The 12,639-nt window shown below is 35.2% G+C and overlaps 1 protein-coding gene and 1 pseudogene across 1 annotated transcript in view, besides 1 other annotated feature; one reads left to right on the top strand and one right to left on the bottom strand.

Moving 5' to 3' along the window:
• The window catches only part of TRUB1 (TruB pseudouridine synthase family member 1), a 39,482-nt gene that overhangs the window by 2,875 nt on the left and 23,968 nt on the right, over positions 1 to 12,639 (bottom strand). The window contains exons 5-7 of the mRNA NM_139169.5: positions 4,362 to 4,434; positions 2,528 to 2,667; positions 417 to 473 (exon numbers count right to left, since the gene is read on the bottom strand). Of these exons, the coding sequence (NP_631908.1) occupies positions 417 to 473; positions 2,528 to 2,667; positions 4,362 to 4,434 (270 nt within the window). The remainder of the gene's footprint in view (positions 1 to 416; positions 474 to 2,527; positions 2,668 to 4,361; positions 4,435 to 12,639) is intronic.
• Positions 5,234 to 5,342, top strand: RNU6-1121P (RNA, U6 small nuclear 1121, pseudogene; annotated as a pseudogene).
• Positions 7,495 to 7,695: a silencer, noted in NCBI's record as "peak1102 fragment used in MPRA reporter construct". NCBI's record gives its function as "represses an SCP1 promoter by STARR-seq MPRAs in K562 erythroleukemia cells {active_cell/tissue: K562}" and the evidence as "EXISTENCE:reporter gene assay evidence [ECO:0000049][PMID:32103011]".

Below are 12,639 nucleotides of genomic sequence, written 5' to 3'. Positions count from 1 at the left end.
AACTGCCAGTAAATGGCACAGCCAGAACCGAAACCTTCTGGCTGTTTATAAGACTACGGCTTCCAGTTTAAAAAAATTTGAAAATAACTTTTAGAAGGTTAAATCTTTTTTTTTTTTTGATCCCTAGTTTGAGTTAAAATCTTTTGTACTTGAAAAGATGTTGGCCCTACGTTCATTATTCCTGTCTTCGTTTTCTGTTCTCTCTTTCTCTTCTTTCCCATTACAAACATTTCACTGCAGCTGCTGAGGCTGATAATTGCAAGCCAGAAACCTACAATGCTTTTAAAGCTGAAGGCAGCAAGAGTTCAGTTCCTAAGGCCAGTACTCAGAAATAAGAAAAACGGAAAATTCCCTCTTCCAATTGAAAAGGAGTATTATTCTCTAAATGATAATTCATAATTCATTTTTATGCTTACCTTTTCCAATGTCACTGACCAAGCTTCTGATATAAAAACCTCCTCCACATTCAACATCTGGAATGTTAACAGTGACATAGTAAATTGCTAACCTCCTATGAAATCCACTTTACATAGAAATGATGTCCCTAAACAAATGTAAAAATGCACTATGCAAACAATTGAGTGATAAAATATTTATGCACTAAAACATAAATTATTCATCCAGTAGCATATGTGTTTGTGAGACTGAAAAGTCAGAGTGTGGAGAAAGCAAACAGCACAAACTCATGAACACATTTTAAATTAACTGGCAAGGCATACCACTTTAATACTTCAGCCTTGTTCATTTAATAGGTTTTAAATAGTTAGAAATCTCAGCTTTGCTATCATGAGCTTGAGATTTTAAAAAATATTTTCAGATTTATATGCCTTGTTCATTTAATAGGTTGTAAATGGTTAGAAATGGCAGCTTTGCCATCATGAGCGGTAGATTTTTAAAATATTTTCTGACTTGTACATTCAAAAAAAATACAACCAACCAACCAACCAACCAAAAACCCCTTTTCACAGTGACAAGAATTATGTTTAGGGTACCGTACTACACATGAAGAACTCAGTTTATTTAAATGTTCTCTTGGAAATACTCCTGAAGAAATCATAAAACAACTTAAAATTGCACAATGTCCCAGAACTGAATGTAAATCTAAATATCTTCTTAACACAATCTAACACAAGTTTATTGGTTAAGAACAGAGCTCTCCATTATTTTTATCCATCAGCAAGACTTCCTGAAAAGAGCTGCCACATTTCCACACAAAAGGACTATATTCTAGCTGCTTCGAGTCTTACTGGTACAAATAAAGCCATTTGGGGGAATTAATCAAAACTCACCACCTGGGGATTTTAATCACCCCCTGCTTTCTTTAGTCAGCTCATGGTTGGGGGCCACTGCTGAAATTGAAAGTGGGCACTGGGATGAAATGCAGGCGCGCTAGCACTCTTGCGTGATATTTGACTTGAGTGAAAAGACAGCTCTTTTGGCCCGTTACACTCTCCCTAGTCAATAAAATATTTCTGACTTAAATGCAATCTGAAAAATCTGAGTTTTTTCTTGCTTTCATAGAGAATATCTACTGTGTCAAACCAGCTGCTTCATTTCCATGGAATGGAGCACAACCTTCCTAAGTGTGTTTTTTTCATTATCTGTCAAATATTTTAGAAGCAGGAACATGAAGAAACAAAGTGACTTTTTTTTTCTAATGGTACAAAACCATATCCTGCAGAAACACAACACAGATAAAACAATAATGCCAATAAAAAAGCAATAGAGTTTAGATTAAAAGATTTGGGGACATTATTTCTAAACGGAATCCTATTCAGTGCACTGTGAAACTAAGGGTAGGCTCAATTTAAAGGAGTCTGAGGATTAAGAACCACGGCTTTGGATTCTTCACAGATCTTACATGTTTACAACTTTCTGCAGCCAGATCATAAAATTTCCAAACAACAGAAATGAACTTTTTAGTCTTTACATTTCAAATATATATTAGAAATTAAAATTCATAACTTGAATTAAAAATGTGACCATGTATTCAGGAATACATTTCTGCCTTACCCATGTTTTTCCATATTTGCAGGATCTTTAATAGTAAGTGATAGGTGGTGAAGAAGGGAGTGAGGGGTTTCTTGTCCAAAAACTAAAAATGCTTTGTTTTCATTGGAAAATTAATGTCAGTTCTAAAACGGAATGTATTAGGTACTAGCCAAAATGGGAGGAAAAGCATCCAAAAGATAATAAAAACCTAAAATTTAAAAAGTATATACACTCCTTACCTACTCTTCTCTATAGAGATCTAAAGTATGTTACTTTCAACTTTCTAGTAAGATAACATAGTACAATATATGAAAAAGTCAGCCCAGTTAGAAACGCATTTCTGAACCTCCATATAGCTACAGGTATCTCATTAAATGTGTTACCAAAAAAGGTATAAAGAAATCCTAACTTTCCTTAAATTCAAATTTTAAAAAATCTCCAACATCCTACGGATCTATTAAAATGACACAAAAGTAGCCAAATACAAATTAAAAATACACGTAAATACAAATGATTTCAAATTTCTCCATCTTACCTAATGTGAAAAATGGTGGCTGGAATTTTTGAAGGGAGATACTGTATACAGTCACTGGCCTGGCAGGTTTTGCTTCTACGACTTCACCTCTCTTCATCAAAGTCGAAAGTCTTTGTCCATCTTTCTTTAATGCAGAATAGCTTGTGAGATGAGAGAAGGAGAAATGGAAGGAAAGGAGAGCAAGAATTGAGAGGGATTTGGAAGGATTGGGAGATGATAATTTCAGATTTAGCATGGAAAGGAAGGATGACTGGCAGTGCTTCACAATGAAAATCCTTCTAAAAAATGAATGAATTTTTAATTCTAATCTACTCCATAATGCTGTCATGGATAGAGTTTCTAAATATTTCTAAGGCTGATATAACCTCATTCTGGCACACAATATGCAGTGTTACCAATTTTATTCTTTAATCATCTTTCTAGAGACAATGTATTCATGTCTTGTCCTTACTAGTCCTCATTCTGTGTTAAAAGGCACAAGGAATTTAGTAGACTCTGGTCATAATACTCTCAGCTATATTTCCTTGAAACAATCTCTACTATAATATTCATTTTTATATAAGTTACCAAAACATTTCTAAGAAGCTAATAAGCAAATAACCTACTTAGCGTATCTTAGCTTTTCGTGATAAAATTTTACTAGAAAACAAAATCCTTGCAATAATCACAGAAAATATTAAAACAATTCTTATACATAAATATAAATAAATTTAACAATGATCCAAAATAACGTTTATGCAGATCTTGCTAAAATTTTTAAATTTTTACATTTGAGGCAAAATCATTAAAAAGCGTCTCCTCAGAGATATTTCAATGTTCCTGAAAAAAACTCAAGATTTTAAATACAAAATAAATACTAAATTCTAAAAAAAAAGTCAGAAACTTACCCTGACATATCCTATAACCAATTCAGCCATTTTTTTCAAAAGAGGCAATTTGCTTGAAATGGTAATGTGCACGAAAATATGGCTACATGGTATTATGATCTGAATGCCAAACCTCCAAATTTATATGCTGAAATCCTAACCCCCAAGGTGTTGATATTAGGAGGTAGGGTCTTCTGGGAGGTAATTAGGTCGTAGGGCGCAGCCCTCATGAAAGAAATTAGTACGCTTATAAAGGAGGCTCCAGAGAGCTGCCTTGCCCCTTCTACTAGGAGGATACGGTAAGAAGGTGCCATCTGTGAAAAAGCAGGCCTTCACCCGACGCTGAGCCCACTGCACTGTGATCCTGACTTCCCAGCCTCCAGAATGGTGAGAAATAAATTTCTGTTGTTTATAAGCTACCCAGTTTATGTTATTTTGTTACTGCAGCCCAAACTAAGACAAGCAGTAAAGCAATATACTTGTATTTTTAATAAGTTGTAACTCTCATCGGTTTCGCTGGCTGCAGAGAATAGTGAAGCAAAAGATTGTGCCCAATAGGAATGGTCCCAGCACCTGACATGCAGTGCACATTAGGACTCTGACTCACAGCTCTGACTTCCCTCCCAGACGGGACTGGTCCCTTCACAACAGTTCTAGGAAAAGAGACATCTCTGGGCTCCTTAACTGCCCTTATGTCTGTTGATAGAATCAGAAAAGCCAATAAACACTGTAATAGCACAGATGCCAGGCTGGGGCCACACTCAGAAACAAAGAAGACCACATTCCACTGCCTCTTAGAGTGTCAAAAGCTCCACATCCTGTCTCACCTTCACTTTAACATTTGGCACATCAGATTTAAAACCTGCCTTGCCATATGCTAAGAGGAAACTCGTGTATTTTAACTAGAGTGATGTTAACCATTGGAAAAGAAAAGTAAACATTTTTCCAAATTTACTAATTGAACTTACAGGGGGGGCACTTGCATTATATTTCCAGTAAATTTCTGTAGAATGCCTTCAATATCTTCTTGTGTTATTTTATCTGCCAAAAATCAACAAAAAAGACACTAAAACAACCACAGAAGTACATGTACTATTTTCACAGCACCAACAGCCCTGAAAATTCATTTAAAACTTTTTCCAAAAGCATATATTACAGTATATGTTTTATAGCCAAAATTCTACCTTGTTAAAAAGAATAAAATATACATTAACAAGATAAAAGAGGGAGAAAGTCTTATATTCTTTATTAAAACAATTTCATTTGCTTCAATTTTTCTCCAATAAAAATAATGCAATCATCTTATATATATATTCAGTTGGTTCTGACTATGGCCTTAAGAAGATCTGAGGAAAATCCCACATTAGCTATAGAAATGATCCTGCAGTAATTAATAATGAAGTGATCAGAATACAAGCAGCAAAATAATCCCCGTAAGTTCTTTTCTAAGTTTCTCTAGGGATCAAATATTGTAAATAACTTAATGTGGCACTTAACAAGTATTATCCACATTTTAAATTTTACCTGGTAAGATTTCAAATCTGTTTTATGTTATGGCAGAAATTTTACACACTCACATTCAACTCTGTTGTCAAGTAAAATTGCATTTATCTGTCCCCCCGCCCCAGCCTCCCCCTTCTCTGTTGTTGGAATTTCTCTCTTGTTTTACATGAACACTCCCAGCCGGCCTCAAAAATAAGCCAGTGCAAAAAAAAAAAAAACACACATAAGCAAGGATTTTAGCATGCTTACTAAACAAGCATTTTTTAAACAATGATTTTAGAAAATATGAATGAAGACATATACATAAAGCTTTTACTATCTGTTAATCATGTTTTCAGCTTTTGTTTGGTATTGCTTCAAACAAAATGATGCAATATTAAAGTAGAGTTCTAGCATGGCCCCTGAGCGAGGGTGACATGCAAATTAGTGAAGTGTTCCATATTTTATTTTTATTTATCTATTTTTTTTTTTTTTGAGACAGGTCTCAATCTGTTGCCCAGGCTGGAGTGCAGTGGTGTGATCTTGGCTCACTGCAACCTCTGCCTCCTGGGTTCAAGCGATTCTAGTGTCTCAGCCTCCCAAGCAGCTGGGATTACAGGCGTGCACAACCACACATGCCTACTTTTTGTATTTTTTAGTAGAGGCTGGGTTTCACCATGTTGGTCAGGCTGGTCTCAAACTCCTGACCTCAGGTGATCCTCCTGCCTCAGCCTCCCAAAGTGCTGGGATTACAGGTGTGAGCCACTGTACCTGACCGTGTTCCATATTTAAAAAAAAAAAAAAAGACAAAAAATACAGTTCTATAATTTTAAAAACTAAAATCTATGATATACTGAAATTTAGAATTTTCATACTCAAAGATGTCTTCATACATATTTCCTATTTAGTAATAAACTAAATCACAGAAATATTCTATAATCTGTTTAGTTCACAGCCAATGGTAAGAAATTTCAGTGGTTTTACCATTTTGTAGAAAATTTATCTAAACTTTTTATTCTGGTATATGTGTATTAAATTTGAATTTATTTGAACAATATTAAATAAAAACAAGTATGCTTTGAATTATTCTTCCAATACCAGAATTAAAAGTCAGCATGGAATACTATGTCCAGATTTTAATATCAACCCAACAAGACAGTTTTAACCTCAGTATGACCTTGACCCTTAAAAGCTAAACACAAACAAAAGACTAGAATCTACTAGACTCAAACAGACAGAAGAGCTATAACACTCAAAAGAATTTCTCTAGCACCTAGCAGCTCCAACAAGGCAGACCTCAGATGGCTGATCTGTTCATACTGTTTCTCAAACAGATGTATCTCATGATACAGATGAGGATTTTTCTATGAAAAAATTTTAGTCTACAGCAACATTAAGACATTATTACTAGCGGCACCTTAGTCATACAAATGTAAGATTTCCAGATCTAGACAGCCAATGCTGTCACCATGCTGGCACTTGCTGAAGGAAATGTCACTGTTGATAAAATTGCAATAGTTAACAACTTAGCCACATATTTTTAAAAACAAGGCCAAACAACTTTCTACTTCTGCTACGCTGGTCTCTCTACTGACGCTCCTGCAACTGTGTTCTCCTTTATGCTGCTTTGGTGGCCCTCTTTTGCTGATATCATCACACACAAGATGACAAGATGTGTTCTTTCTCATTCTACTTCTGCCATATTGTCTCTTTCTCTGACTGAACATGTCAAGCATTCGTGGTTTGTGCTGTTCACTCTGTAATTAATCATACACATTTTTTAACTATTCTTTCTATATTCTCTCTTCTTTCTACATATTTGATTTCTACACACACACACATACACACACGTACGTATTATCCCACCAATGAAATTCTAAGCTTCTCAAAGACAATTTTTCGTATATAACATACACTATTAAAATGGCACTCAAGACATCTGCTGAATTTAATTTGCTGAAGAATAATAGAATCTCAAGGCTGAAGGGCATTTAAAAGTCACCTAGGCCAATCATCCATCTGATGTTTGAATTACTAGGCAGCCTACACAGCAAGTTATCTTATAATAAAATCTAAGCTTGTGGTACATGAGTATGTAGTACAAACTGGCTATATCTAAAACATGATATAAGTTCAATCAAATTAATAATAATCGTTCTTATGACATAAGTATAAAGACTGTACTTCCAAAGTATTTAAAAAGAAACAGAATAAAATGTCCACAGTAAATATATCCAATAACTAGGCAGAATAAACATATTTGGTAAAAGAGGTACAAGTGTCATAGGACTTGGGTAATTATTTTTTGTTTAGTAAATTAATAAGCCATCAATGTGACAGCATTCATTTGAAATTAATTTTTTAAAATCATTTTCATAAAATGAATATATACAAGATCATGTTATACATCATTATTTGCTTAAAATTTTACTCTTCCAGTGAACTCACAACATCATAGTTGAGATTTAACTGGACTACAGAGCTAAAAACAATATGATTGAGTTAAAAATCATATTTGACTACGAAAGAGTAACTGTGACTAGACAAATCTTGCCACCATAAACAGCTGTTAAACTGGACAAAATTATTAAGCAACAGTTTTTAGACAGACAACAGGCAGCAAGCACTGTAAACCCTGAGGAAAAAGAAACAAACAAAGCAAGTCTCATGATCACTTGTTTTTGTCTGGAGGTGCTTTCTTAACTGTGGGACAGAGAGGGGAACGTCAAAGCACAGTGATCTCACTGAACAGAGATCAGAATCTGAGGAAGTAGTGGCAGCTGGAATTTGAGGAAAATACACAGACAAAGAAATGTCTATGAAGGCACCCTTGATACTCTGACTAAATTCTAAGCTGTACATACATACATACAGGGTCTCTACAAAATTAACTAAAGAAATACTACCAAAGCTCTTACAAGGCTGGGGGATGTTTTAATTTCAACCATCCAGAATGAAGAAACTTTGTTGAATGCACAAGTCATTTGATAGACACCCCAGAAAAGTCATGCTTTAGAAGCAGAGCTAATCTAGACCTGGAAAAAAAGTCTATTTTAGAGCCATCCTAATATAAAATCTATGCAAAACACAACTAGAACAAATAAGTGAGTTTAGCAAGGTTGAAAAACACAAGATCAATATACAAAAATCAACTCCATTTCTATATACCACCAATGAACTATTAGAAATTGAAACTTCAGAATTTGAGGTACTCAGAGATTTCATAAACAAAGGATGTAAAGATCTGATACTGAAAACTACAAAAATATGGCTATAAAAGACCTAAATAAATGAAGAGAGATATCTTATTTCATGGGTCAGAAGGCTTGATATTGTTTAGATGTCAATTCTTCCAAAATTGATCTATAGCTTCAAAACAATCTCAAACTGCCAGTAGATTTTGAGTGTGTGTGTGCATAAAAATTGACAAGCTGATTCAAAAATTCATATGGAAATGCAAAGGACCAAGAATGGCAAAAGCAACTTTGAAAAAGAACAAGTTGGAGGGCTAACACTTCTTAATTTAAAGACTTACAAAGCTACAATAATCAAGACAGTGTGGTACTGGTTTAAAAATAAATACATCAATGGAATAGAATTAAAAGTCTCAAAATAAAAGTATGCAGATATGGACAACTGTTTTTTGACACAGGTTCAAGGCAACCACAGAAAGGATAGTCTTTTAAAAAATGGTTACAAAACGATGTACATATGCAAAAAATGACCTTGAATCCATATCTGAAATCATATTCAAAAATTAACTCACAATGGAGAGAGGGGCATAAAGACACTTTTATGATGATAAATATGTTCACTGTTTTCATTATAGCTATGATTTTATAGGTGAATGTATATTAATTTTTAAAATTATATATTTTAAATACAGTATTTCTGTATGCCAATTATACTTCAGAAAGCTGTTTTTAAAAAATAAATAGGGTCTTCAAACTGAATTGCAGTAATGAATTTGGGGTGGTGGGACATCATGGCTGAGCTTGCTCTTGGGTAATTTAGCAAAAGTTATTTGCTGTAAGTTTGATATTATTTCAAAATAAAACGAAGGTCATAAGGGACTATTATAAACAGCTTTATACCAATATTTTTGAAATTTTAGATGAGATGACAAATTCCTAGGAGAAAAAATTATCTACATTGATATAAGCAATAAAAAATAGTATATCCAATAGCTAGTAGAAAAAAATCCAACCCATAGTTTAAAACCTTCCTAACAAAGAAAACTCAAGAACAGATGTCTACCTGTAAATTCTTCCAAACATTAGAAAAAAATACCAATCTGATAGAAATTCTTCCTGAGAATAGAAAAAATGAGAACAGCACCCAAACTATTGTATGAGGTCATCATAACTTTGATATCAAAGCCAGTCCAGGACATTAAGAGGAAAGAAAAATACAGGGCAATCTCACTCAAACACAGATGCAAAAATCCTAAACTAAATATTAGCAAAACAAATGCAACAATTTATATAAAGGATAACACATTACAACTAAGTTGGGTTTATTCCAGAAATGTAAAGTTACTTTAATATGTGAATAAGGAGAAAAATCAATAGATACAGAAAAAAAATTTGATACAATTTAATATCTGCTCATGATTTTAAAAAACCAGAACTCAGCAAATTAGGAATAAAAGGCAACTTCTTTACTTTGATAAGAAAGCTATTAAAAAAAAACCTGTAAGGCTGGGCACGGTGGCTCAAGCCTGTAATCTCAGCACTTTGGGAGGCTGAGGCAGGCAGATCACAAGGTCAGGAGATTGAGACCATCCTGGCTAACACGGTGAAACCTCATCTCTACTAAAAATACAAAAAATTAGCCAGGCGTGGTGGCTGGCACCTGTAGTCCCAGCTACTTGGGAGGCTGAGGCAGGAGAATGGCATGAACCCGGGAGGCGGAGCTTGCAGTAAGCCAAGATTGTGCTACTGCACTCCAGCCTGGCGACAGAGCAAGACTCCGTCTCAAAAAAAAAAAAAAAAAACCTATAGAAAAAAATCTATAAGAAATAAAGCAGGAAGGACTTGTTCTTCCAGATATCCAGATAGTCTAAAACTACAGCAATTAATATAGTCTGGTGTATATACAAGTATAAACAAACTGATCAATGTAAAAAAATAGATTTTTTTTTAAACAATAGCCTAAGTGGGTGCTTGATGTGTAATAAAGAAGAGAACACAAGAGTACTGGGAAAGTGCTGAAGCAACTGGACATCCATGCAGGAAGAAAAGGTGGATTGCAGAGGGAACATGAAAGGCAAAGCAATAACAGCTTCTAGAACATAGGAAAATATCTTCACACTTTTAGAGTCAAAAAAGTTTTCTTAAACAGGACACCAAAAGGACCAACCATAAAGGAGAAGGCCTGATAAGCTGGACTAAATTAAAACTAAGAACTTGTGTTTTTCAAAAGACAAGAGAGGAAAAAGGCAAGCCACAAAGTAAGAGAAAATATCTGCAACACACATAGGCAAAAGAAGAGAACATATCCAGACTATATAAAGAACCTATGCATCCTCGAATGGAAGGTGCTTAATAAAAAACAAAAACTCATACAAATGTATAAGAAAAAGGCAACTCAAAAGGGAAAGAAAAAACAAAAAATGGGTAAGAGACCTGAACAGACAATACAAAAAAGAAGATGGCTAATAAGCCAAAAACACTTAATAAGGTGCCAAATCTCATCAATAATCAAATTAAAACCACAATGGAATTATCACTACACACTCACCAGAACAGCCAAAATTAAAAACACTATTAATAGCTAAGTATGTGGGGCAAGTGGAATGCTTATGCACTCCTAGTGGAAATGCAAAGTTTTCCAAGTACAATCACTTTGGACAACTGTTTGACAATTTCCAGTACAGTTAAATATACACCCACTCTATAACCCAGGAACACATGCAGGCACACACGTGCACACGCACACACACACACACACACACACACGACCTATATTCCACTTGGGTATATACCCAAAAGAAATGACGGTAGAAATGTGTCTACCAAAAGGCAGGTATAAAATATACACAGCACTTTATTCACAAAGCCCCAAACTGGGAGAGTATGTGTGTAGTATATTCACACAGTGGCATACTACATAGCAACAAAAAAGTCCAAAATACTCATACATGTACCAACATGGATCTCAAAAATATAATAAGTGGAAGAATTTAGACACCAAAGGACACATAGTGTTTAATTCCATTTATACTAAATTCAAAAACAGGCAAAACTATGCCTTAGTTTTAAAACCATCTCCATAGCATTGGATGTTAGAACAGTAGTTATCTTTGCAAAAGGAGGACAGGGTAATGACAGATAGGGCACAAGTGTGGTTTCTAGCAATCTTCTATTTCTTGACTAAGGGTGATAGCTAGCTACAGATATTTGTCTTGTGCAAATTGATAGAGCTGTACCTTTATTTTTTGTTCAGTTTTCTTTACTTGTACATTTTATAATGAAAAGTTTAAATGCAAACAGCTTTGTAAGAATTTTTATACCCAGCTACACACTAGTCCAATTATAGCATATACCCTATTGGTTCATATCACAATTTGAAACTAAATTCAACTCTTGAGCTTACTCCAGGATAAGTCTCAGCAGCCAAACCATATACAGTCCAAGAGGAGACAGTACCATTAGATACAACATCAGCTACGTCCATTTGAGAAGACCTTGGTAACATCTGATCTCAGGACTAAGGGGTGGTGGTGTTTAGAATAAAAGATTAGCATGAGATTCCACTTTTCTTTCTACCTTTGTTGACTCATGGGAGGGACAGAAAAAACTACTCCCAGTACAGGGACAGTTAGGCCTTCCCGGATGCTTGGTCCACATCTAGCCTGGGAAGCTATGGTCTTAGTGTCCTTAGCTCAGCGGAGAACAGATGAGCACACTGAAGCTGTGTGTCCTCAGAGACACTGGCAATAGTAGCAGACACTTAATACCTAGATGTGGATGAGAAGACAGCAGCAGAAGGCAGGAAGATGCTTTGCCTTTCCCGGCTTATCTGCAGTCATCTTTTCTGAGAATGCCTCTGCTGCCTATCTTTTTTGATTCAAACTCTATATGTCATATATGTCATTCTGTATGCCGTATACCACACCAAAAATACACTACTGAGGACCAAAAGAGACATGGTTTCAGCCTCATGGCTGAAATACACCTGCATGACTATCTGGCAGACATCCTGAAGTCTGACAGTACACAGGACAATTCTTCATTGTGTTCTACGATCCTCTGTGTTACAGGACATCTGTCATCCCTGGTCTCCACCCACTGAAGGCAGCTGGTGTCACCACCCCACCCAGTCATTGTAACAACTAGAAACACAGTTTTTAATTGACCTGTCAAGAACAACTGATGTTGGCTAAAGTAACTCAGTATGCAGTCAATGGCAAATTAATGTTCTTAAGTCATTTTGTCCTATCTAGACAAATACTATTTTTAACTGTTATTTCAGACAGCTGAAAGCTAGCTCAGAGGAATAAGAAAATGAGTCTCTGGCTTAGACTCAAACATCAAAGCATGTAACAGGGCCTTTCCCTTTGTTCTCTATCATAACACTCTATTATTCCTAAATAGCATTTTTCACTATTTACAATTATGCTGTATGTTTGAGTGCTGATCAGGAGTTCAAGACCAGCCTGGCCAACAAAGTGAAACCCTGCCTCTACTAAAAATGCAAAAAATAGTCAGGCATGGTGGTGCATGCCTGTAGTCCCAGCTACTCAGGAGGCTGAGGCAGAAG

Source organism: Homo sapiens, chromosome 10, assembly GCF_000001405.40.
Source record: "Homo sapiens chromosome 10, GRCh38.p14 Primary Assembly".
Taxonomy (NCBI): Eukaryota; Metazoa; Chordata; class Mammalia; order Primates; family Hominidae; genus Homo; species Homo sapiens.
The sequence above is the reverse complement of the archived record's forward strand: the minus strand, read 5'-3'. Positions and strand labels throughout refer to the sequence as shown.